Source organism: Homo sapiens, chromosome 11 (genome assembly GCF_000001405.40).
Source record: "Homo sapiens chromosome 11, GRCh38.p14 Primary Assembly".
NCBI classification, from domain to species: Eukaryota; Metazoa; Chordata; class Mammalia; order Primates; family Hominidae; genus Homo; species Homo sapiens.
In genome coordinates, this window is record NC_000011.10 from 65,911,592 (window position 1) to 65,932,528 (window position 20,937).

At 55.2% G+C, this 20,937-nt stretch overlaps 2 protein-coding genes across 3 annotated transcripts, besides 14 other annotated features; one reads left to right on the forward strand and one right to left on the reverse strand.

Moving 5' to 3' along the window:
* Window positions 1,319-1,588: an enhancer, noted in NCBI's record as "active region_5022". NCBI's record gives its function as "activates an Ori minimal core promoter by ATAC-STARR-seq in GM12878 lymphoblastoid cells {active_cell/tissue: GM12878}" and the evidence as "EXISTENCE:reporter gene assay evidence [ECO:0000049][PMID:35858748]".
* Window positions 3,669-4,868: an enhancer, noted in NCBI's record as "P300/CBP strongly-dependent group 1 enhancer chr11:65682731-65683930 (GRCh37/hg19 assembly coordinates)". NCBI's record gives its function as "activates an origin of replication core promoter dependent on BRD2, BRD4, P300/CBP, MED14 and CDK7 cofactors, with strong dependence on P300/CBP, by STARR-seq in HCT116 cells {active_cell/tissue: HCT116}" and the evidence as "EXISTENCE:reporter gene assay evidence [ECO:0000049][PMID:35650434]".
* Window positions 3,669-5,028: a biological region, named in NCBI's record as "P300/CBP strongly-dependent group 1 enhancer GRCh37_chr11:65682731-65683930".
* Window positions 3,909-4,468: an enhancer, noted in NCBI's record as "H3K27ac-H3K4me1 hESC enhancer chr11:65682971-65683530 (GRCh37/hg19 assembly coordinates)". NCBI's record gives its function as "activates a minimal SCP1, AML or CMV promoter by ChIP-STARR-seq in naive H9 embryonic stem cells {active_cell/tissue: H9 hESC(naive)}" and the evidence as "EXISTENCE:reporter gene assay evidence [ECO:0000049][PMID:30033119]".
* Window positions 4,172-4,316: an enhancer, noted in NCBI's record as "145 bp enhancer 146/147 fragment used in the MPRA reporter construct; PK_construct_3364". NCBI's record gives its function as "activates an SV40 promoter by MPRA in HepG2 cells {active_cell/tissue: HepG2}" and the evidence as "EXISTENCE:reporter gene assay evidence [ECO:0000049][PMID:23512712]".
* Window positions 4,239-4,250: a transcriptional cis regulatory region, noted in NCBI's record as "NFE2L2 motif; enhancer activity is reduced when this motif is scrambled". NCBI's record gives its function as "necessary for full MPRA enhancer 146/147 activity {active_cell/tissue: HepG2}" and the evidence as "EXISTENCE:site-directed mutagenesis evidence [ECO:0005528][PMID:23512712]".
* Window positions 4,469-5,028: an enhancer, noted in NCBI's record as "H3K27ac-H3K4me1 hESC enhancer chr11:65683531-65684090 (GRCh37/hg19 assembly coordinates)". NCBI's record gives its function as "activates a minimal SCP1, AML or CMV promoter by ChIP-STARR-seq in naive H9 embryonic stem cells {active_cell/tissue: H9 hESC(naive)}" and the evidence as "EXISTENCE:reporter gene assay evidence [ECO:0000049][PMID:30033119]".
* Window positions 5,219-7,471, reverse strand: C11orf68 (chromosome 11 open reading frame 68). Of its 2 annotated transcripts, none has more exons than NM_031450.4 (2): window positions 7,319-7,471; window positions 5,219-6,624 (listed from the first exon to the last, which is right to left on the reverse strand). In NM_031450.4, exons 1-2 carry the CDS (start codon window positions 7,438-7,440, stop codon window positions 5,868-5,870), a joined length of 879 nt encoding a protein of 292 aa, NP_113638.2. In that variant the 5' UTR covers window positions 7,441-7,471; the 3' UTR covers window positions 5,219-5,867. The 2 variants fall into 2 exon arrangements, with proteins under 2 accessions (NP_113638.2, NP_001129107.1); NM_001135635.2 differs by having other exon boundaries at window positions 5,219-6,627.
* Window positions 6,588-7,507: an enhancer, noted in NCBI's record as "H3K27ac-H3K4me1 hESC enhancer chr11:65685650-65686569 (GRCh37/hg19 assembly coordinates)". NCBI's record gives its function as "activates a minimal SCP1, AML or CMV promoter by ChIP-STARR-seq in primed H9 embryonic stem cells {active_cell/tissue: H9 hESC(primed)}" and the evidence as "EXISTENCE:reporter gene assay evidence [ECO:0000049][PMID:30033119]".
* Window positions 6,588-8,428: a biological region, named in NCBI's record as "H3K27ac-H3K4me1 hESC enhancers GRCh37_chr11:65685650-65686569 and GRCh37_chr11:65686570-65687490".
* Window positions 7,225-8,294: a silencer, noted in NCBI's record as "silent region_3568". NCBI's record gives its function as "represses an Ori minimal core promoter by ATAC-STARR-seq in GM12878 lymphoblastoid cells {active_cell/tissue: GM12878}" and the evidence as "EXISTENCE:reporter gene assay evidence [ECO:0000049][PMID:35858748]".
* Window positions 7,508-8,428: an enhancer, noted in NCBI's record as "H3K27ac-H3K4me1 hESC enhancer chr11:65686570-65687490 (GRCh37/hg19 assembly coordinates)". NCBI's record gives its function as "activates a minimal SCP1, AML or CMV promoter by ChIP-STARR-seq in primed H9 embryonic stem cells {active_cell/tissue: H9 hESC(primed)}" and the evidence as "EXISTENCE:reporter gene assay evidence [ECO:0000049][PMID:30033119]".
* DRAP1 (DR1 associated protein 1) lies at window positions 7,835-9,972 on the forward strand. Its single transcript, NM_006442.4, has 7 exons — window positions 7,835-7,952; window positions 8,189-8,261; window positions 8,357-8,450; window positions 8,752-8,871; window positions 8,978-9,071; window positions 9,293-9,381; window positions 9,739-9,972. The coding sequence occupies exons 1-7, from the start codon at window positions 7,911-7,913 to the stop codon at window positions 9,842-9,844; spliced, it is 618 nt and encodes a 205-aa protein (NP_006433.2). The 5' UTR covers window positions 7,835-7,910; the 3' UTR covers window positions 9,845-9,972.
* Window positions 16,281-16,846: a transcriptional cis regulatory region, noted in NCBI's record as "candidate enhancer chr11.3343 targeted for multiplex CRISPR interference". NCBI's record gives its function as "positively regulates DRAP1 gene expression in K562 cells {active_cell/tissue: K562}" and the evidence as "EXISTENCE:mutant phenotype evidence [ECO:0000015][PMID:30612741]".
* Window positions 16,383-16,812: an enhancer, noted in NCBI's record as "active region_5023". NCBI's record gives its function as "activates an Ori minimal core promoter by ATAC-STARR-seq in GM12878 lymphoblastoid cells {active_cell/tissue: GM12878}" and the evidence as "EXISTENCE:reporter gene assay evidence [ECO:0000049][PMID:35858748]".
* Window positions 16,527-16,821: an enhancer, noted in NCBI's record as "tiled region #4290; K562 Activating DNase matched - State 5:Enh". NCBI's record gives its function as "activates a minimal TATA promoter and a strong SV40 promoter by Sharpr-MPRA in K562 cells {active_cell/tissue: K562}" and the evidence as "EXISTENCE:reporter gene assay evidence [ECO:0000049][PMID:27701403]".

The following is a 20,937-nucleotide window of genomic DNA, read 5'->3' on the forward strand; positions in this document are numbered from 1 at the left end:
TGGGGGGTGAGGGGGTGAGTCACACAGCCTGGGAGTGGGAGCCAAATGGGACAGAGCTCGCCTGTGTGGGGTCCCTGGCCCCATCTCAAACAGCCACAACTCAGCCCACCTCCAACACCCATCAGGCCCCTGGCCCATGGCAGAGGTAAGTGGGGCCAGACCAGGTTCCCAGAGGGCAGGAGCCTGGAGGCTGGAGTCCCAGCACGCACGCATGTATCTGTGTGTGAGTTTGTGTCATGTGTTGTGAGGGGCGGGTGGCAGACCGGAAAGGGAGGCTCTGACTCGGGAGGAAAGGATGGATTGGGGTTTGGAAAAGAGTCAAAGCCCTGGAGAGATTTTGGCGGGAATGCTTCGCTGCCCTCTCCTGGCCTCTGAGGGTTGGGCTGATTTTCCTGCCTGAACCAGCTTTCTCCCTTTAGGGGAGGGAGGAAGAGGAACTGGGCCCTGGTGGGTGACCTCCCCGTCCTCTAGGGTCTACAGAGGGCAGACTCGGTCGGAGGAGGGAAGATCCCCAGAAGCCAATTTGGGCTTCGCCCCAGAAAGGTCTTTACCCTCGGGGCCAGAGCTGCTCAGGGACCAGGGACAGAGCTCCCTGGGACACGGGTGTGTACAAGGACTCTTGGGAGTTGTGGAGGTCCCCAGAGCATTTCTAGCCTTGACCTTGGCCAAGTTGCCAAGTTATTTAACCTCTTTCTGCCTCAGTTCCCTCATGAGTAAAAGGAGGAGGTCTGTGAGGACCATAATGAGTTAATGCAGCTGAACTGCTTAGGGTGTGCCTGGCACAGAGTAGGTCTGTATACAGGTTTGCTGTTTTTCTTTTTCTAGACAGGTTTGCCAGGCTGGAGTGCAGTAGCTGGATCATGGCTCACTGAAGCCTTGACCTCCCAGGCTCAAGCGACCCTCCTCCCTAATAGCCTCCTGAGTGCTGGGAGTATAGGAATGTGCCACCATACCTGGCTTTTTTTTTTTTTTTTTTGGTAGAGATGGGGGTCTCATTGTGTTGCCCAGGCTGGTCTTGAACTCCTGGGCTGAAGCAATCCTTCCGCCTCGGCCTCCCAAATTGCTGTTACTATAAATATGAGCCACCATGCCCAGCCCATGTTTACTTTTACTATTTGAGCCTGTTTTCTTATCTATAAAATGGGTAAGAAAGGACCCCTGAGGGAGGTGGCCCTTGTACAGGTTTCTCTCTGGTCTCAGTCTCTGGTTTTATTCCCTGGGAAGTTGCCCCCTAAGCCCTGCCACCCTGCCTGACTCTATCTCCCTGGGATTTTTTCCCAGTAAGCAAAGGAAGATGGGGTTGGTGGGCTTCTCAGCTGGGTGTCCTCAGGTTTACCCCTAGGTGCCTGGGGGATGTGTGTCAGAGGAGTGGGGAGTTTCCCTCCTCAGATGAATCAGCTGTGTGACCTGATCCTCATCCCTGCCAGAGCCCCTCCCAGCCGGCAAGAGTGGGGCGCAGCTGCCCCACTGGGAAAATCCCCCAAATCCTGCCAAAGCTCTTGCTGAAGCGTTCTCTTGACTCAGCTGTTTTAGTCCTCTTTGAGTCTGCCCAAGTTCCAACAGGAGTCAAGTCGGGCAGATTCTCTCCTTCCCTGGACAGACCCTCTGGAGCCTCCTCCCTGGGGTCTGGGGTTTGCAGTATGTGGGAGTGGGAGGAAAAGGAGTTGGGGCTTTTTCCTGGCCTCAGTCACCCTTCCCCTGGTTTTATAAAAGGAGCAGAGCACAGGACTTGTCCAAGTTTGCCCAGCACCCCCTGGGCCAAAGGCACTTCCCTGCTCCAAGGTAGGAACAGGCCAGCCAAATAGGGCAGAACTCACTGCCAGCCTGAGGGGGTGGGTTTTGGGGGGCCATTGACCTGGCAGGGGGCCAGTTCCCACTGTAGACCTGGAGACCCTTCCTGCCCAGTAGGCTTCGTCATTGCACTCTCTAGGCCTCAGTTTTTTCATCGGTAAAAAAAGGGACTTTCGGCGGGGCATAATGGCTCATACCTCTAATCCCAGCACTTTGGGAGGCAAAGGTGGGCGGATCACCTGAGGTCAGGCGTTCGAGACCAGACTGGCCAACATGGCAACCCAGGAGGCGGAGGTTGCAGTGAACCGAGATCATGCCACTGTACTCCAGCCTGAGTGACAGAGTGAAACTCCGTCTAAAAAAAAAAAAATAGACTCTCAGTTTTGGCCCAGCTTCTCTCCCAGGTGGTTCTGAGGACCCAACCTCCTGTGTGCTTTAGAAACCAGATGCTGAGTCCTGCAGGGTCTCATCTATCCTTGCAGCCCCCACCCCAACAGCACTTCGATAAAGTGGAGGTTCAACAGTGCATAAGGTGCCCTGGAGTTGGATGAACTGGGTTTGAATCTTGGCTCTGCCACTTACTTTCTTCATAACCTTGAGCCAATTATTGAACTTGTCTGGGTCTCAGTTTCCTCTTTTGCAAAATGGCAATAATAATAGAGCCAGGTGAAACTTAGATGAAATCATGTAGGTAAACGCTTAGCACCGTGCCTGGCTCTTGTCATGAATAGAATGAGGAAACTGAGGCCCAGAGAGAGAGTGGCTTTCATTCACTCACTCATTTATTCAAGAATGTTTGGCTGAGTGCAGGGGCTCATATTTGTAATTCCAGCACTTTGGGAGGCTGAGGTGGTAGGATCGCTTGCGCCCAGGAGTTCAAAGCTGCAGTGAGCCATGATCATGTCATCGCATTCCAGCCTGGGCAGCATAGCAAGACCCTATCTCAAAAAAGAGGCCGGCCGCGGTGGCTCACGCCTGTAATCCCAGCACTTTGGGAGGCCGAGGCGGGAGGATCATGAGGTCAGGAGATCGAGACCATCCTGGCTAACACGGTGAAACCCCATCTCTACTGAACATCCAAAAAATTAGCCAGGCGTGGTGGCGGGCACCTTGTAGTCCCAGCTGCTCGGGAGGCTGAGGCAACAGAATGGAGTGAACCCGGGAGCCGGAGCTTGCAATGAGCCGAGATTGCGCCACTGCACTCCAGCCTGGGTGATAAAGCGAGACTCATCTCAAAAAAAAAAAAATGTTAATTTGGCATCTGCACTAGGTTGGGCCCTATGCCGGATGCTGGAGGATAAAGCATTGTCACTGTCTGAAGGGATCTTACATACAGATGAGAGCAGCAGGCAGGCGGGAGCTGTGGGAGCCTAGGGGACATGCCTGCAACACTTGGGGTGAGGAAGGATCCGGAAGCATCCTGAAGAATTACACCTGAGCCAGTGGGTCTGCAACGTGGCGCCAGCCAGGGAAGTGGGCGAGGGTAAGCTAAGCAGAGGCTACGGCACCAGCAAAGGCGTGAAAGTGAGAAAGGCCACCATGTGTACAAGAAAGTCACACGCAGCTCAACGTTCTTGGACAAGGAGTGCAAAGCAGGGAATGGAGATGGGATGAGGCAGAAGGGTCCAGCAGGGGCTGGAGTCGCCAATTACCTCATTCATTCATGTAATAACTTACGGAGTCGTTGTTCTGGCCAAGCACTGTGGTAGGCTCTGGGAACAGGGCTGAGATCTAGCCACTGTTCCTGCCTTCACAGAGCACAGTGTGGGCATGGGGCTTAGGGGCCAGCAGGAGACAGACATCAAGCCATTACACAAGTCACCACACACTCTGGCCATCAGGGCTGCAAGGCAGGTGCTCGAGCAGAAGGAACAGCCCGAGGCCCAGGGCTGTGCACCAGGGGGTGAAGGAAGTAACAGATGGCTCCAGCTGGGTGAGCATGGGCAGAAAGGGGTGCCCGAGGGAAGCGGGGAAGTCTATGGGAACCAGGTCACGGCCAGTGCAGGAGAGCAGACTCCATCCTGCAGGCTGTGGGGAGCCATGGAAGGGCTTTTGGCAGGACATGGCCACTCTGCAGGAGGGATCTGTTGACCTGGCTGTGGAGAACGGAGCGGGGACAAGAGGAGGGTGGAAGTGGCTTGGGAGACGGTGAGTTGTGGGCTGGGGCAAGGCACAGGGATGAAGAGGGGCTGTGTGTGTGACACACTCAGCTATGGAAGAAGCCAGTGCTGTTGACCCCACTTGGGCATCTCTGTGGGACCCATGAGGTACCTTGGCCCACTTTGGTGGAGTGCAAGGCCCTGGCAGCCCGAGGGAGGCAGAGCACCAGGCTCCAACTCGGAGACCACCCAGCTCTGGGGACTTCCCAAGGCTGGGCAGAGGGGGACTCAGCCCTGGGGAAGCTCAGGGTGGGGAGGAAGCTGGAGAGAGCACTGAGCCAGCATCTCATGACTCAGCCACTTCCACCCAGTCAGCCCGGTGGCATCTCCGCTCCCCTGCTCTAAATTCCGATTCGGTGAGACTGCTGGAGGCTGAGTCAGTCCCGGCACGGCACGAGAGCTGTGTCCCAAGGGGCTCCCTGCCAGACACCCTGGCCCCCAATCAAGGCCAGGGCCAGGCACGGGGCTGGAGAGGTGGCGGGGTGCAGGAGCCAGGCTCCAAGGCTACAGCAAGTCCCAGCAGAGTGGGGCGGCCCAGTGAGATCACGTAAGTGAACATGCTTTGTGAGTTATGAAAAGCTCCCTGTTTTCCTCAGTGGGCTCAGGGACCTCATTGCCCGAGGAAGGGACTGGGATGCAAGTCCTAGCTCTGCCCACCTCATCGCATGACACTGAGAAAACTCCTTTCCCCTCTTGGCTTCAATTTCCTTGACCACAGAATGGGGCCAACATCTCCCAAAGGGGTTGGGAGAATTAAATTTAATGCATATGAAAGCGCTTTGCAAACTGTCTAGTGGGCCCTATGATGGTCAGGGTGGTAGGAGAGGAGAGTATGAATGGCAGGGCTTCCAGAGAGACTACCTAGGGTTGTGCAGGTTGTTCACTGCACAAGGATGTCTAGCCTAAGGTGCTGAAATCCAGCCCATCCCATCCTCTGCTCCCCAAACCGCGTACCCCGGCCTAGGACTGCTTGGACTTGGTACCTTTCTCTAATATGCACAAATGCACCCTGAGGGCTAGCAGTGGCCCCTTAGACGTTCCTGGAGGGGTCAACCCCTGGAATTATGGGAAATCTCTGAGAAACTGATTACGGATGGAGGGGAAGTGGGGCTGGTTTTGCAGAGGTTCTTAGAGACAGTGCCTAACCTCAGCAGTGAGGCACAACTTATTGCTAGGGGCAGCTATGGGGGCCTGGCCGGGTCAAGGGGGTAGTCTCTCCTGGCCCTGCCCCTCCCTAGCAACGAAAGCAGGTAACCACCAAGACAGTATTTTAAAAAACACTCAAGACACAGACCCAAGCCGGGTTTTATTGAAATGCCAGGAGCAGGCACATGTCAAAGTAGCCAAGGAAGGGGGGACAGTGGTACAGGCTGTGTAAGTTGGCAGGGATGGGCAAGCCTCATGTCCATGGTCCTGGCATCCCCTCTGCCAGGGGATAAGTAGGCACAACTACCCTCCCCTCAAAATGGCATGCTCAGGCCAGTGGGGCCCCTACCCCTGGACCATGAAGGCTCCAAGAAGGGCTGGAAGCACTAAGTTTTCTCTCTCCTGAGGGGGAAGGAAAGAAGGGGAGATGCAGGAGGAAGGGGAGGTATAGCGGGGGATGAGCGTTCCAAGAAGTCTCTCCTTCTAGGTGTCTGCACCCAACTCATGGTGCTGGGCAGTGGAGAGGAGCAGCATTACAAAGGGAGGCTGAAGGCTCATCCCTCAGGGAACCGGAGCCCCCCAGCCTGTGGGGCTTGTGTCAGCCCTGAACAGAGGGCAGAAGTTCAAGGGGACTGAAGATGCAGGTAGTTCCCAAGTGACCTAGGAGTCCCCAGAGCTGGGGGGTGTGGCCTTCATAGGACAAGGAGGAAGACAGGAGGATCCAACCCCAGCATGGAGGGGGGAGTGGGCAGTCTCCCCAATTTGGCCCCCCTAGGTCAGTTCCACGTTGTTGGCACGGTCAAGCACTCGGGAGCCACGGGCACTACCCCCAAGCTGGAAACGGCTCTCATAGAGAGTGGGGCAGAGGTGCCAGCGATTGGCCCGGTAGATGCCCAGGTAGGTGTAGACATCAGGCTTGTAGGTGAGCAGGCACTTAATGCCCGCTGCACGGATGGCTGAATCCGCCTCCAGTACACCCAAGCGGTCCGTGAAGTCGTCCGTGTAAACACAGATGACCTGGCGCCCACCCTCCTTGGCACGTGGGCTCACCTTGGCCACCTGAAGCTGGCCTTCAACCACGGCCCGGGCAATGCCAGCCCAGGCGTGGTCCAGCTTGAAGCCCGGTGCCAGATGCATAAGCCACTTGCCCGAGAGCACGTGGTGGGTGATGGCGAGCTGGCGCAGGGTACCCGGTGTGATGGGCCGCCCACTGGTCTGCAGAGCTTCCCAGGCTGCCTGCAGGCCCTGCACGTCCCCGGAGTTGGGGCTGTAGCCCTGCCCATACACTGCAATCCAGCCCACAGGCTCTGAGTTGGGTGAACCGGGGTCCCCATAGCGGGTAACTTGGGATGGTGGGTACTTGGCCAGCCAGGCATCCAGCTCAGTGGCAGGCGTTGTGCGGGCATCAAACACTAGCCAGGGGTCCATGTCAGCTGCCATGGCCTCTGCAGCCAGGTGCTCGGCGGTGAAGCCATCCTCACGGCCACCTGGAGAGCCCTCCTCTTCCAGCTCCTCACCTGGTTCCATCCTGCTGTGAGGGAACCGAGTCAGGGCAGGGTCTGAGACAATAACTACAGATGCCAGGCACTGGATTAAACTGTGGCCTTGAGTAAGAGTTACTGTCGATGCGCCTCAGTTGCCTCATCTTTACAATGGGATAACAACTGTTCCTGTCCCGTAGATCTGCTATGAAAATTAGATGCCTGAGGAGTCAGCGCTCCAGAAGGGTTGCTGCAGTTATTACTATTCTCCTTGACTTACAGAAAAGGAAACTGAGGCTGAGAAAAAGGACTTGCCCAAGGTCACACCTGCAGTGCGTGGCAGGGCCGAAGGGTGAATCCAGGCGTGGGAGCAACCAGCCCCAGCTACACCTCCCGGCCCTGCCAAGGCCCCCTTTTCCTGGCAGGTATCCGGTGCGCTGGCATTTAATAGAGGAACGCAAAGAAGCGCACGTTCGCGCAGCTCCCGAGGCCGGCTCTGTAAGGCCAGGCCTCCCAGGCAGGCGTTATCGGGCCCACTTACAGACGAGGACGCTGAAGTCCAGAGAGGTTACAGGCCGTTCCGAGGCCAATGGGGCGGTTCCCAGACTCGAACCAGGGCTTGTTAGAGCCTGCAGGAGAGCCAGGCTCCGGCCGTGCCGCGCCCGCCGCCATTAACGCCCACGGGCCCGAGCTGTGCTCCCGCCCCGGCCCTGCCCTGCCCCTCCCGCCGCCCGCAGTCACCTCCGGCCTTCGCTGCGTTCGACGCCGGCCCAGCCCCGGGCCCGGCTCCGCTCCTGCCGTGGCTCCGCGCCACCGCCACCGCGCCCCACCCCCGCCACGGCCGCCGCCGCCGCCGCCGCCATCTTAGCGCCGCGCCACCTCAACAACAACTTTATAGACAGGCGCAGCCACAGGGCGGAGCCGCGGGCCTCAGCGGCCGCAGCGGCCGCGCTGTGGGGCGGGGCCGGCAGGGGAAGGGGCGGGGCCGACGGGGAGGTGCTGACTCGGGGGCGGGGCCATCGCGGGAACCCCGGGAGGGGCGGGCCGCGGGGGGCGGGGCCAACGTTCGCTCTTCTGGCCTTGGGGGCGGGCGGGAGCGGCGGTCCAGACTGGGGAGGGACGCGCACCGGCCAGGAGGCTTCAAGAGGAGGGCACTAGGGCCCTGCGAGCGGCGTCTTAACCGGCGGCGCTAGGACTCCGCGGGAAACGGCGGGGGCGGAGCGGGCGGCACCAGGACCCAGGGGAACCGCGACGGGCGGGCGGCGAGCAGGCCCGGGAGCCGGGAGGCTGCGGGCGGCGGCGCTGGACCCGACGCGGCGAGAGAGGCCCCGAGATGCCGAGCAAGAAGAAGAAGTACAACGCGCGGTTCCCGCCGGTGAGCACGTGGCAGAGCCCGGCAGGAGTGGGCCCGGCTCCCGGGTGGCTTGGGCCCAGTTCCCGCTGGGCAGGCGGGCGCGCCGCGGTGTTCGGGGGCCTGGACGCCCCGCCCCCTCCATGCCCTCCCCGCGTCCGTGTCCCCCGCCCCCTTTCTCCGGGGATGCCCCTTCCTCCCCCAGCACCCCCTTAGGGGACGGTGGCGACGGGGTCTGAACTCTGCTCCCCCACCCGCAGGCGCGGATCAAGAAGATCATGCAGACGGACGAAGAGATTGGGAAGGTGGCGGCGGCGGTGCCTGTCATCATCTGTATCCTGCCGGGGGCGGACCGGGTCGAGGGGCGTGGGGGAGGGAGGCAGCGGGTCGCCCTCTCCTGCCCCGGAGTTCTCCTTGACGCTCCTCAGCCCGGGCGCTCGAGCTCTTCCTAGAGTCGCTGTTGAAGAAGGCCTGCCAGGTGACCCAGTCGCGGAACGCGAAGACCATGACCACATCCCACCTGTGAGCGGCGAGGAGCCGGGAGGGGCCGGCGGGTTTGGCGCGGGGAGTTCACACACTGAGGAAGGCAGAGCCTGGGTGGCGAGGGAGGTGGGCGGCAGCCGGGACACCAGCAAGGCCACAGACTGGCAGAGGAGAGGCTGGGCTTCCAGGCAGAGGGAGCCACCTGAGTAAAGCAGGGCAGGCCCGGGAGCGGAGATCGGCCCGGGCTCCAGCCTGACATCTGGGGCCCCTTGCTGCCACCCACTGCGGGTTTGGGTGTCTGGGCCCCTCTTGAGTGCCAGCCCCTCCTCACCTCTTCCAGGAAGCAGTGCATCGAGCTGGAGCAGCAGTTTGACTTCTTGAAGGACCTGGTGGCATCTGTTCCCGACATGCAGGGGGACGGGGAAGACAACCACATGGATGGGGACAAGGGCGCCCGCAGGTGGGGCCAGGGCCTGGCATACAGTGGGGAAGGCCAAGGCCACAGGGCTTGGGGGTGGCCAAGGAGTAGGGAGCACTCCGGGCAGATGGACTGTACCTTCCCAAAGGGGCCGGAAGCCAGGCAGCGGCGGCCGGAAGAACGGTGGGATGGGAACGAAAAGCAAGGACAAGAAGCTGTCCGGGACAGACTCGGAGCAGGAGGTGAGTGAGGCCCCAGCCCTTCGCCCTGCCCTTGGTGATGGGACAGGCAGCCTCGCCCCAGGCTGAACTGGCAGGAGGCCAGCTCTCATCCTTTTCTGCAACCTGTTTGCTCACTGGTTTATTTGTAAATTGGGGCTATGAGGGTCTACTGCTGTCCCTGCCACTCCCAGTGATGGGTTCGTGTCTTTTCTTGTCAACTCTGACCTCTGCGGTGCTCACAGGATGAATCTGAGGACACAGATACTGATGGGGAAGAGGAGACATCACAACCCCCACCCCAGGCCAGCCACCCCTCTGCCCACTTTCAGAGGTGAGCAGCCCAGAGGCATGGGAGGGTGCTGGCAGACTCCCCAGAGCCAACTTACCCCTCTTGTTCTCCCTGGCCCCTTGGTCTTGTTGATTGTGGCAGATTTGTGGGGTGGAAGGAGAATAACTGAGGAGGGCTTGAAGGCAGGAGACTGTTCTCCCGAAAGATCCTGCTCCACCCTGCCAGGGCCCGTGGGTGGGGCCTGGGCCTGCCCTGCGTGAGCTGCCCTGGGCCTTGGCCGCATGGATCTGGAGGGTGGTGGTGGGAGGGTCAGATGGGGGAGGGAGGGTCTTGGCAGCTGCCCCTGTGGAGGGCACGGTGGGGCTCAGGCCTGACTCTCTCCTGCCTTCTGCCCTGCAGCCCCCCGACACCCTTCCTGCCCTTCGCCTCTACTCTGCCTTTGCCCCCAGCGCCCCCGGGCCCCTCAGCACCTGATGAAGAGGACGAAGAAGATTACGACTCCTAGCGCCTTCTGCCCCCCAGACCATAGCCCCTTTTAGTTGGTTTTAGTTGCTCTGGGGGGAGGAGAGAAGGTAGAGCTGTTCTTAAATTTATTAAAAAAAAAAATAAAAGGGAATCTCAGTGTCTGTTCCAGGCTCTGCGCAGGACGTCATGGTTGCCATCCCATCCACCCACCTGCCTTCCCCACATGAAACTGGGAGCTGGGGCCGGGTGCGGTGGCTCACGCCTGTAATCCCAACACTTTGGGAGGCTGAGGCGGGCAGATCACCTGAGGTCAAGAGTTCAAGACCAGCCTGGCCAACATGGTGAAACCCCGTCTCTACTAAAAATACAAAAATTAGCTGGGTGTGGTGGTGCATGCCTGTAATCCCAGCTACTAGGGAGGCTGAGGCAGGAGAATCGCTTGAACCTGGGAGGTGGAGGTGGCAGTGAGCTGAGATCACGCCACTGCACTCCAACCTGGGCAGCAGAGTGAGACTCCATGTCAAAAAAAAAAAAAAAAGAAACTGGGAGCTGGGGCCGCGTCAGTGGCAGGTGAGGTGGCAGCGAGGGGAGAGAGGGGTCATCCGGGGAGGCTGGAGGCCCTGGGTCTGCTGAGTGCACCACAGCTGCGGACAGAAGGGAGTTGGGAGAGCTTGCAAGTGCTGGGCATGCGGGGGACACTTGCCACGTGGTGCTGCTGACCCCCGGTGGGCTGCTGACCCCCGGCGGGCTGCTGCCCTGCTCTGAGCAGCCCCTTGTCTCTCTGATGGAGACTGTTCTGCCCCCTGTAGTCTGCTGTGAAGGGATAAGTGGGACAGGGAACAGGTACAGGTCTTGGAAACTGTAGAGTCCTGTGTCCAGTGTAGTGAAGGGCAGGTGGAAAGGAGCAAACATAGAGAGATGGTGGAGGGTCTTGAAGGTGGTTTTTGAGCAGGGCAGTGACACAGTCTGTTCATCCAGATAACCTTTCAGAGCAGACCCAGGAGCTGTGCTGCCTGTAAAGCAGAGGTACTCGGTGAGGCTGGGGAGGGCGCAGGTGGCCCACATGGGGCCTCCTGGAGCCCGCAAGGCATTCAGTTTTAAAGGTCTGCTGGCATGGTGGCATATGCCTATGGTTCCAGCTGCTTGGGAGGCTGGGACAGGAGTTCCAGGCAGCAGTGAGCCATGATTGCACCACTGCACTCCAGCCTGGGCAACAGGAGCAAAACTCCATCTCAAAGAAAAAGAGTCTGACATCCCCAAGTACTGCAGAGGAAGAGGCTACACGGCACTCATACACAGCTGGTGGAAATGTCAGTAAGTACAACCACTTCGGAAAACCGTTCAGCAGTTTCTTATTAACACACACACTTCCCCTATGACCCAGCAATTCCACTCCTAGGTAGCTACCAAGAGAGATGGTGGCATAGGGCCACTGGAAGACATGTACAAGCCTGTAGCCCCAAACTGGAAACAGCTCAAATGCCCATCAGCAAGAGCAGGAATAAGTAAATGGTGGAATGTTGTATGATAGAACAGCAGTAAAAGGAACCACTGTCAATGCAACTCCCTGGGTAGATCTTGTAGACCTTACGTGGAGCAAAAGAAGCCAAACAAAAAAGTACATGGGCCAGGTGCAGTGGCTCACACTTGTAGTCCCAGCACTTTGGGAAGCCAAGGTGGGCAGATCGCTTGAGCTCAGGAGTTCAAGACCAGCTTAGGTAACATAGTGAGACCCTGTCTCTACAGAAAAATACAGACATTAGCTGGGCATAGTGGGGCCCGCCTATAATCCCAGCTACTCAGGAGGCTGAGGTGGGAGGATGGCTTTAACCCAGGAGGTAGAGGCTGCAGTGAGCTGAGATTGCTCCACTGCACTCCAGCCTGGGCGACAGAGTGAGACCCTGCCTCAAAAATTAATTAGTAAAAATGAAAAAGAGTACACCCTGATGTAATTCATTTAAGCCAAGCTCAGGAACAGGAAAAACTAATCAACAGTGATGGAAGTCAGTACATCCATAAGGGGTGGGGATTGGCTGGGGGTCGGGTACAGGGAGCCTTCTGGAAGTGTTCTTCAACTTGACCTGGGTTATGTATAAAACGATTAAGCTGTACACTGAAGATTGGTGCACTTCTTTGATACCTTCCTAAAAGTTTTACTTAATCTTTATCTATCTATTGAGACCCTATTGCACACCAGACACTGTTCTAGGTAGTAGCGATCAAGTGAACAAAATGTTCTTGGAGTTTATTTCTGAAGTGGTGAGACAGACAATAAAGATGTATCATGCCAGTCATGGTGGCTCACACCTGTAATCCCAGCACTTTGGGAGGGTGAGACGGGTGGATCGCCTGAGGTCAAGAGTTCGAGACCAGCCTGACCAACATGGTGAAACCTCGTCTGTACTAAAAATACAAAAAATTAGCCGGGTGTGGTGGCAGACGCCTGTAATCCCAGCTACACGGGAGGCTGAGGCAGGAGAATCGCTTGGACCCGGGAGGCGGAGGTTGCAGTGAGCCAAGATTGTGCCATTGCACTCCAGCCTGGGCAACAAAAGCGAAACTTCGTCTCAAAAAATAAAAGATGAATCGCATGTCGGATGGTGATCCATGCTGTGGGGAAAATAAATAAAGCAAAACAGGCGATCCAGGGTGATAAGGGAGGCCTGCATCCTTTTTTTTTTTTTTTTTAGAGACGGAGTCTCGCTGTGTCTCCCAGGCTGGAGTGCAGTGGCACGATCTCAGCTCACTGCAATCTCCACTTCCTGGGTTCAAGCGATTCTCCTGCCTCAGCCTCCCGAGTAGCTGGGATTACAGGTGCCTGCCACCACGCCCAGCTAATTTTTTGTATTTTTAGTAGAGACGAGGTTTCACCATATTGGCCAGGCTGGTCTCAAACTCCTGACTTTGTGATGTGCCTGCCTCGGCCTCCCAAAGTGCTGGGATTACAGGCATGAGCCACAACACCCAGCTTTGGGGGGCCAGCATTCTTAACTGAGTTCAGGCAAGACTCTGGTGACAGTGAGCATGGAGTGGGCGGGCTCACAGCCTTCCGTGGGGAGAGGGCTCCAGGGAGAGGGAACAGCAAGGGCAAAGTCTGGGAGAATTGGATTTAATCTGTCAGTTTCCCTGTGGTCTCCTCTGCTCCCACTGCGTCAGCCACCACCCAGGGCCTGACTCAGGGGCCACCAGCTCTGGACTCAGCCCACCTTAGCTGGGAGGTGTCCTTGTGGCACTGACAGCCCCTTGGGCCTGAGAAGCTTGGTGCAAAGGGAGAAGGAAGAAGCATGGGGCACCTACCACACCCCTGCCCTGGGTGCTGCTGGACCTGGGGCCCCAGAGGCTGGGGAAGGAGGCAGAAGGGGAAGGAGAGTTGAATGACTGAGTGAACCTGCTCGTCCTCTCCCAGCCTCATCCCTGGCCTGGTCAGGGAGCTGACGTGCTATGGGATCTCTTGATTTCCCCTTTCCCTCTCTGGGCTTTGCCCTCCACAGCCATGAAATAGGTCTGCGGATGCCTCCCCCGTGGTTGATGGGAGGCAGGAGGCGTTGCAGCAGCACGTTGCTCTGTGCTTGTCAGGTGTGAGGCCACCATCAGTTTCCCTGCACCCCCGAGCCCTCCTCTAGGAGAGATGTCCTCATACCCCCACCTTATGGATGAGGAGACTGAGGCTCTAGAAGTGACATAGTGGCCCAGAGGTAGGCAGGGGTTTGGTCTAGGCATGTATGTCGTCCAGGACTTGGAGAGGTGGAGTTAACAGCTTAACCCCCAATACACACCCGAGGGCCATCCCTTTCTCTGGAGCAGGGACACTTGGCTCCAGGACATAGACACGACCAAATTCCCACTCAATTAGGCTATGGGCCCTGAGGCAGGGGACTGGCACCCGTGCTCTGGACAATCTACCAGGGGCCTGGTCCCTCCCCTCTTTGGTGCAGGGCCTTTGATGAGAGTGGGTCTGGACTTTCTCGGGGGGCTCCTTGTATCCGGAGAGTGACAGGGCTATGTGACTGCCACCTCCCATCATCAGAGTGAACTATTTCTATTCTGAAATCCCATTTTTCCTATTGTGTGTTCAAATGTCGTTTTAAAAAATGGAATAAGGACTAAGATTTTTGCCAGTAATCAGAGAGCTGCAAAGAAAAACAGGATCCCACACAATGCCCATCAGATAAAACTGAAAACCGGATAAAACCTGTTGCTAGTGAGGATGCCAGTGAATGGAATTCTGGCATTTGGTAGGCATGTAAGTTAGTGGGGATGTTTGAAAGGGCATTTTGGCAGTTGTGTGTCCCCTGGCAGGTCCACTCCTGGGTTAAACCTCTCACAAGCAGAGAGATGTGTCCTAGGCATGGTTTGAGGTGGCAGAAAAATCAGTGTCCATCAATGGAGAACTGCCTGGGCAGAAGGCAACAGGGATAGAGCTTAAATGCAGAGTGCTGAGTGACAAATAGTCAAATAGAGAACAAGAAACAAAAAACGCAGACATACATGAGAATCCTTTATACGGCATTTCTGCCACTTACTCTGTTACCTTGGACAAGTGACTTTAAGCTGTCTCTACCTCTGTTTTCTTTTTTCTTTTTCTTTTCATTTTTTTGAGACAATCTCTCTCTCTGTCGCCCAGGCTGGAGTGCAGTGGAGCAGTCTTGGCTCACTGCAACCTCCACCTCCCAGGTTCAAGCGATTCTCCTGCCTCAACCTCCTGAGTAGCTGGGACTACAGGTGCGTGCCGCCATGCCCGGCTAATTTTTGTGTTTTTAGTAGAGACAGGGTTTAGCCATGTTGGCCAGGCTGGTCTCAAATTCCTGATCTCAAGTGATCCGTCAGCCTCGGCCTCCCAAAGTGCTGGGATTACAGGCATGAGCCACCGTGCCTGGCCTGTTTTCTTTTATAAATAAATAAAAGAAAGGCAAGGGAATGGTACTTGTGATCCAGACCCTCCACCACGGGTCTGGTCCCTCCCCTTTTTGGTACAGGGCCTTTGATTAGGGTGGGTCTGGACTTAAACACAGGTGTGTGTGTGGAACAGGGCATGGAGAGGTGAAGTTAACAACCTATCCCGCCACACCTGAGGCCATTCCTTCCAAGTTACAGGGATGCTCGGCTCCAGAACATGGACGAGACCGTATAGATACAAATATATATGTATATGTCTCTATATACACAAATATATGTATTTTTATATGTATATGTGTGTGCCTATATATGTGTGTATATATATGTGTGTGTGTGTATGTGTGTGTATATATATGTACACACATATATATATGTATATATATATTTTTTGAGACATGGGATCTCACTTTGTTGCCCAGGCTGGTCTCAAACTCCTGACCTCAAGTGATCCACCCTCCTCAGCTTCCCAAAGTGCTGGGATTACAGGCATGAGCCACCCCACCTGGCCTCTACCTCTGTTTTCTTTTCTTTTTTTGAGGCGGAGTTTCTCTCTTGTCACCCAGGCTGGAGAGCAGTGGTGCTATCTCGGCTCACCACAACCTCCGCCTCTCAGGTTCAAGCGATTCTCCTGCTTCAGCCTCCCGAGTAGCTGGGATTACAGGCATACGCCACCACACCCGGCTAATTTTGTATTGTTTTTAGTAGAGACAGGGTTTCTTCATGTTGGTCAGGCTGGTTTCAAACTCCTGACTTCAGGTGATCCGCCCGCCTCGGCCCCCCAAAGTGCTGGGATTACAGGCGTGAGCCACCTTGCCCAGCCTATCTCTATTTTCTAATCTGTAAAACGGGGATCATAATAGCACCTCCTTCAGGGACATGTGATGGTTTCATGAGATATGATATGTAAGTCGCTCAGCACAGTGCCTGGCATACAGTAAGCACCCAATAAATGGTGCCTGCTGTTATGGACATTTATGGAAATAAGATCCTGGAAAGCAGATTGGAAGGGCATGTACTAAACAGACAAGGGGATGTCGTGGCTCAAAGCAGCAGGAGTAGGACTGGGATGCAGGGAAGGGGAGAGTCCATTGAAAGGGGAAGCTTTAGGCTGGGTGTGGTGGCTCAAGCCTGTAATCCCAGCACTTTGGGCAGCCAAGGTGGGCGGATCACCTGAGGTTGGGAGTTCCAGACCAGCCTGACCATCATGGAGACACCCCATCTCTACTAAAAATACAAAATTAGCCGGACATGGTGGCGCATGCCTGTAATCCCAGCTACTCGGGAGGCTGAGGCAGGAGAATTGCTTGAACCCGGGAGGCGGAGGTTGCGGTGAGCCAAGATCGTGCCATGGGACTCCAACCTGGGCAACAGGAACGAAACTCCATCTCAAACAAACAAACAAACAAACAAAAAAGAAAAGAAAAGGGAAGCTTTTCAGGGCCCTATGGCTGCATGGAGTGCCCCAAACTAAGGCGCATGTCTGCTTGATTCTATGCACCCTGTGTTGAAAAAACAGAAAAGACATTGTCAGAATGGGCCCAACCTCAGGGGACAGCATCACATAGGGCAGGGTAAAGCATGGCCCTGCAGGATTCATGGGATCATACATTGTCTTCATTCAGTCACTCAAGAAATATTTGCTGAGTACCTACTCTGTGCCGGGCCCTGCTCTGGGCTTGGGGAAGGTGAACTCAGAGAAAACACACAGAGCCTCTGCTCCCTAGCTCAGTCCAGTTGGGGGAAGGGGCAGCAGACTGATGGTAAACAAATAGGTACATTCACGCCTCTCCAGGGGTAGTGGGGAGAGGGGACCCCGAGGAGGCCAGCGTGTTGAAGCCGCAGCAAGCAAGTGGGTGGGCAGGGCCCTGGTTCCTCCAGGGGGGTGCGGCTGCCCTGTTTTTAGCCACAGATGCTCTTCCATTCCAGCCTGGTGCCCAGAGTCGGTTTCACTTTCCTCTTACCCGTTTTCTTAGAGTTTGGTTTCTGTTTTGTGGGTTCCCTGCCCCCCTTCCGCCTTTGTCTGGAGTTGCAGATTAGCCTAGTGGTTCTCAACCCTGGCTACATCTTAGAACCCTGGGGAGCTTTTTTTTCTTTTTTTCTTTTTTTTTTTTTTGAGACAGGGTCTCATTCTGTCTCCCAGACTGGAGTGAAGTGGCGCGATCTTGGCTCACTGCAACCTCTGCCTCCCAGGTTCAAGTGATTCTCCTTTCTGCCTCAGTCTCCCCAGTAGCTGGGGAGGCTACTCGCCACCACGCCTGGCAATTTTTTGTATTTTTAGTAGAGACAAGTTCTCACCATGTTGACCAGGCTGGTCTCAAACTCCTGACCTTAAGTGATCCACCCGCCTCGGCCTCCCAAAGTGCTGGGATTACAGGCCTGAGCCACTGTGCCCGGCCGACCCTGGGGAACTTTAAAATACCCATATCTGGGCCTGTCTTCAGTTAGATCAGAAGCCCTGAAGATGAGCCTTCCCAAACTCTGGTCTCGTCTTCTTAACTCGGTGAGAACAACGGTTGCCCTCCCAGTGCAGTGGTAGGAAAATCACCTATGCAATGTCAGGGCTCCTCCCCTTTATCTTCCGTTTTTCAGGGATCACAGCCCTGAGCTGCCCTTTGTCTAATATCTGAAAACACTTGTTTCCTGTGCTTTGTCCAGTTTCTTAGCTGTTTGTAGAAAAAGGGCAATTTCAGTTCACCTTACTTCCTCAAGGCCAGAACCTAGAGTCCCTCCTCATCCTTTGAACTCCCCAAGTCCTTCACCTGTCCCCTCTCCAAGTTTCTTCCCATGCTCTGGCTGGGATAACTGTGCTTGCAGGTTTCACCTCCACTTCTGGAAAGCGCCCCTCTTGGGGACACAGGGCCTGTCGGATTCACGTCTGTGTCTCCAGGATGTCTCACAGGGCCTGGCACGTGGTAGGTACGTGGTGGGCATGTTTTTGTGCATGGGTCTGCCCTGCCCTTCTTCCTTCAGGCCACCCCAAATCATATCCGTATCCCTAGAGAACTGACGCCCACCCCACTCCAACCAGGTGGCACCTCCAGGACCGCTGGTCAAGATACCCTCCCCACAGCCATTGGTCAGGGGTGGCCGTGAGACTCAAGACAGCACATGTGGCCGGGTGCAATCGCTCACGCCTGTAATCCCAGGACTTTGGAACGCTGAGGCAGGCAGATCACCTGGGATCAGGAGTTCAAGACAAGCCTGGCCAACATGGCAAAACCCCATCTCTACTAAAAATACAAAAATTAGCTGGATGTGGTGGTGGGTGCCTGTAATCCCAGCTACTCAGGAGGCTGAGGCTGCAGAATTGCGAGAACCTGGGCAGTGGAGGTTGTAGTGAGCCGAGATCGCACCACTGCACTCCAGCCTGGGCGATAGAGCAAGACTCCGTTTTTTAAATAAATTACCCAGTTCCAGGTTTTCTGTTATAAGCAACAGAGAATGGGTGAAGACATTTATTTTTATCTTTAATAATGTATTTAGGCCAATTGTATGCTAGAGAGACCTGACTACTACAAGACATCATTGTATGCTTGCCGAATAAATGAAATACCATTGATTAATTTGCAAACCACATTCCCAGTGCACCTGAGGTGGCTTCCAACAAGAACAAGGAAGGTAAAATTTAAAAAACAGAAATGGAGATTCAAGAATGTGGATGGGTGCAGTGGTATACACCCGTGCTACCAGTGGTGCACTCCCAGCTACTCTGGAGGCCCGAGGAGGGAGGATCACTTGAGACCAGGAATGTGAGTCCAGACTGGGCAACATAGCAAGATCTTATCTCTAAAAACAAAAAATTTTAGGCCGGGTGTGGTGGCTCATGCCTGTAATCCCAGCACTTTGGGAGGCTGAGGAGGGCGGATCACGAGGTCAAGAGATCGAGACCATCCTGACCAACATGGTGAAACCCTGTCTCTACTAAAAATACAAAAATTAGCTGGGTGTGGTGGTGCACGCCTGCAGCCCCAGGTACTCGGGAGGCTGAGGCAGCAGAATCTCTTGAACTCGGGAGATGGAGGTTGTAGTGAGCCAAGATCGTGCCACTGCACTCCAGCCTGGTGACAAAGCGAAACTCTATCTGAAAAAAAAAAAAAAAAAAAAAATTTAGGCCACATGGGATGGCTCACACCATAATCCCAGCACTTTGGGAGGCCAAGGCAGGAGGATCACTTGAGGCCAGGAGTTTGATACCAGCCTAGGCAACATAGTGAGACCCTGTCTCTAAAAAAATTATTAAAAAATTTTTTAAATAAAATAATAAAATATAATTAAAAGAGAAAATAAAGATCAGAAACAATAGCATACATATATAAATATGCAACCCATAAAGGCCTGTAAAAGTGCTTTATTAATTCAATATCAAATTTAGTTCTGAGCTTTCTGGCAGCCAAAGCAAAAAACTTTTTTTTTTTTTTCCGGAGAAAACTTCTTCAGTGGAAAGAAATTTTTTCCTAGACTTTAGCTGCAAAAGAACAGTTTCAGATGGGGCCTGCGGTGTGATGTGGTGAAGGCCAATCTCAGCCGCATTCGCACAGCCAAAGCCTGTAATAAGCCTCCCACAATGAGTCCTTGGAGAATGGGTCCAGGCGATTCAGTTGTTCTCATTTGGGCTCGCCTTGACCTCTCAGTGGCTCTTGTCATAGTTGGTCGCTTGCCTCCTCTTTGAAACACTTTCTTCACTTGGATGGGGGCCCTCACTCTCTTGGCAATCTTTTTTTTTTTTTGAGACGGAGTCTCGCACTCTCACCCAGGCTGGAGTGCAGTGGCGCCATCTCGGCTCACTACAAGCTCCGCCTCCCGGGTCCACACCATTCTCCTGCCTCAGCCTCCCGAGTAGCTGGGACTACAGGCGCCCGCCACCACGCATGGCTAATTTTTTTTATTTTTACTAGAGACGGGGTTTCACCGTATGAGCCAGGATGGTCTCGATCTTCTGACCTTGTGATCCGCCGCCTCATCCTCCTAAAGTGCTGGGATTACAGGCGTGAGCCACCGCGCCCGGCCTCTCTTGGCAATCTTCTTCCCCACCGTGGGCTGTGGTCTTGTCTCCATGGCCACATCTCCCTGACCTCTCTTGACCTCTGAATGGTGGTGGGCCCAGGCTCAGACCTCTCCCCTGCCCTCCCTTCCCCTCCCTTCCCCTCCCCTCCCACTTCCTGGATGACAGGCCACTGTTTCCACCCCAGGCCCTCCAGTCTAATTTCTACTCACAGCCAGAGGGAGTGCAGCCATTACATCTTATGCTGCCATTTCCTCATCGTCCTGTGATCACCTAAAGTTACTAAACAAATCTCTATTAAAGTGCCCAGTTTTGTGTAGTGGCCAAATCCCAGAACTTGATTTAGAATGAAGTATTCTTGGGCTGGGCGTGGTAGTACGCACCTGTAGTCCCAGCTGGTCGTGAGGCTGAGGCTGCAGGGATCGCTTGAGTTTGAGGCTGCAGGGACCCAAGATAGCACCACTGCACTCAAGCCTGGGCAACAGAGCGAGAGCTTGTCTCAAAACAAACAAACAAACAAACAAACAAACAAAAAAAACGAACACAGCTTTTTCCACTTCTGGCCATTGCAGCCCCCACTGATAAGGAGTCAGGGAAGTCGGGTCTGCGCCTCTCCCTGGCCCCATTCCCAGGCTTGAGAAGACGCTGCCTTTGGAGAACAGGGAGGGAGGGCAGTGGGTGCAGAGAGTGCATCCTGGATTGACACTGGTGTAAGATGGCATCTCACTCCTTGGGTGGCAGCTGTCTAAAGCTGGCTCCTGCCCTCAGGGGTTTTATGGGCTCCCTTATGTACTACCCCCTTGACTGAAACTCCTGGCAAAGGGGCAGCCCCTCTCTGTTGACTGGCTCTGGTTTTCTTTCAAGTGGCATGCACTACCCCACTCTGTTGCATACCCTGTGCCAGAGAAAACAAGCCCGTGGGGCCAGACCCCTTTTTCCATTCCTGCGGTCCAGTGCCCACTGCAGGTCACCTCCTTTCTGGAGGCCTTTCCTACCAATGACCCACGGGGGTGCCATGACTGCAGGAAGCCCACCTCAAGCGCTCTGGGGGGCTTCCTTGAAGCACTTCTCACCAGATTTGAGGTTAGAAGGCAGCTCCCCAGCTCCACCCCCTGCAGACTCACTGCCATAGCAGCTCTTTCCAAATCAAATCACCGCAAACTGCCCCTTTCAAATCCACCCTCGATCCCTTTATACTCTTGCGGTGGATGAGGGGCTTCGACAGTGGCAACATG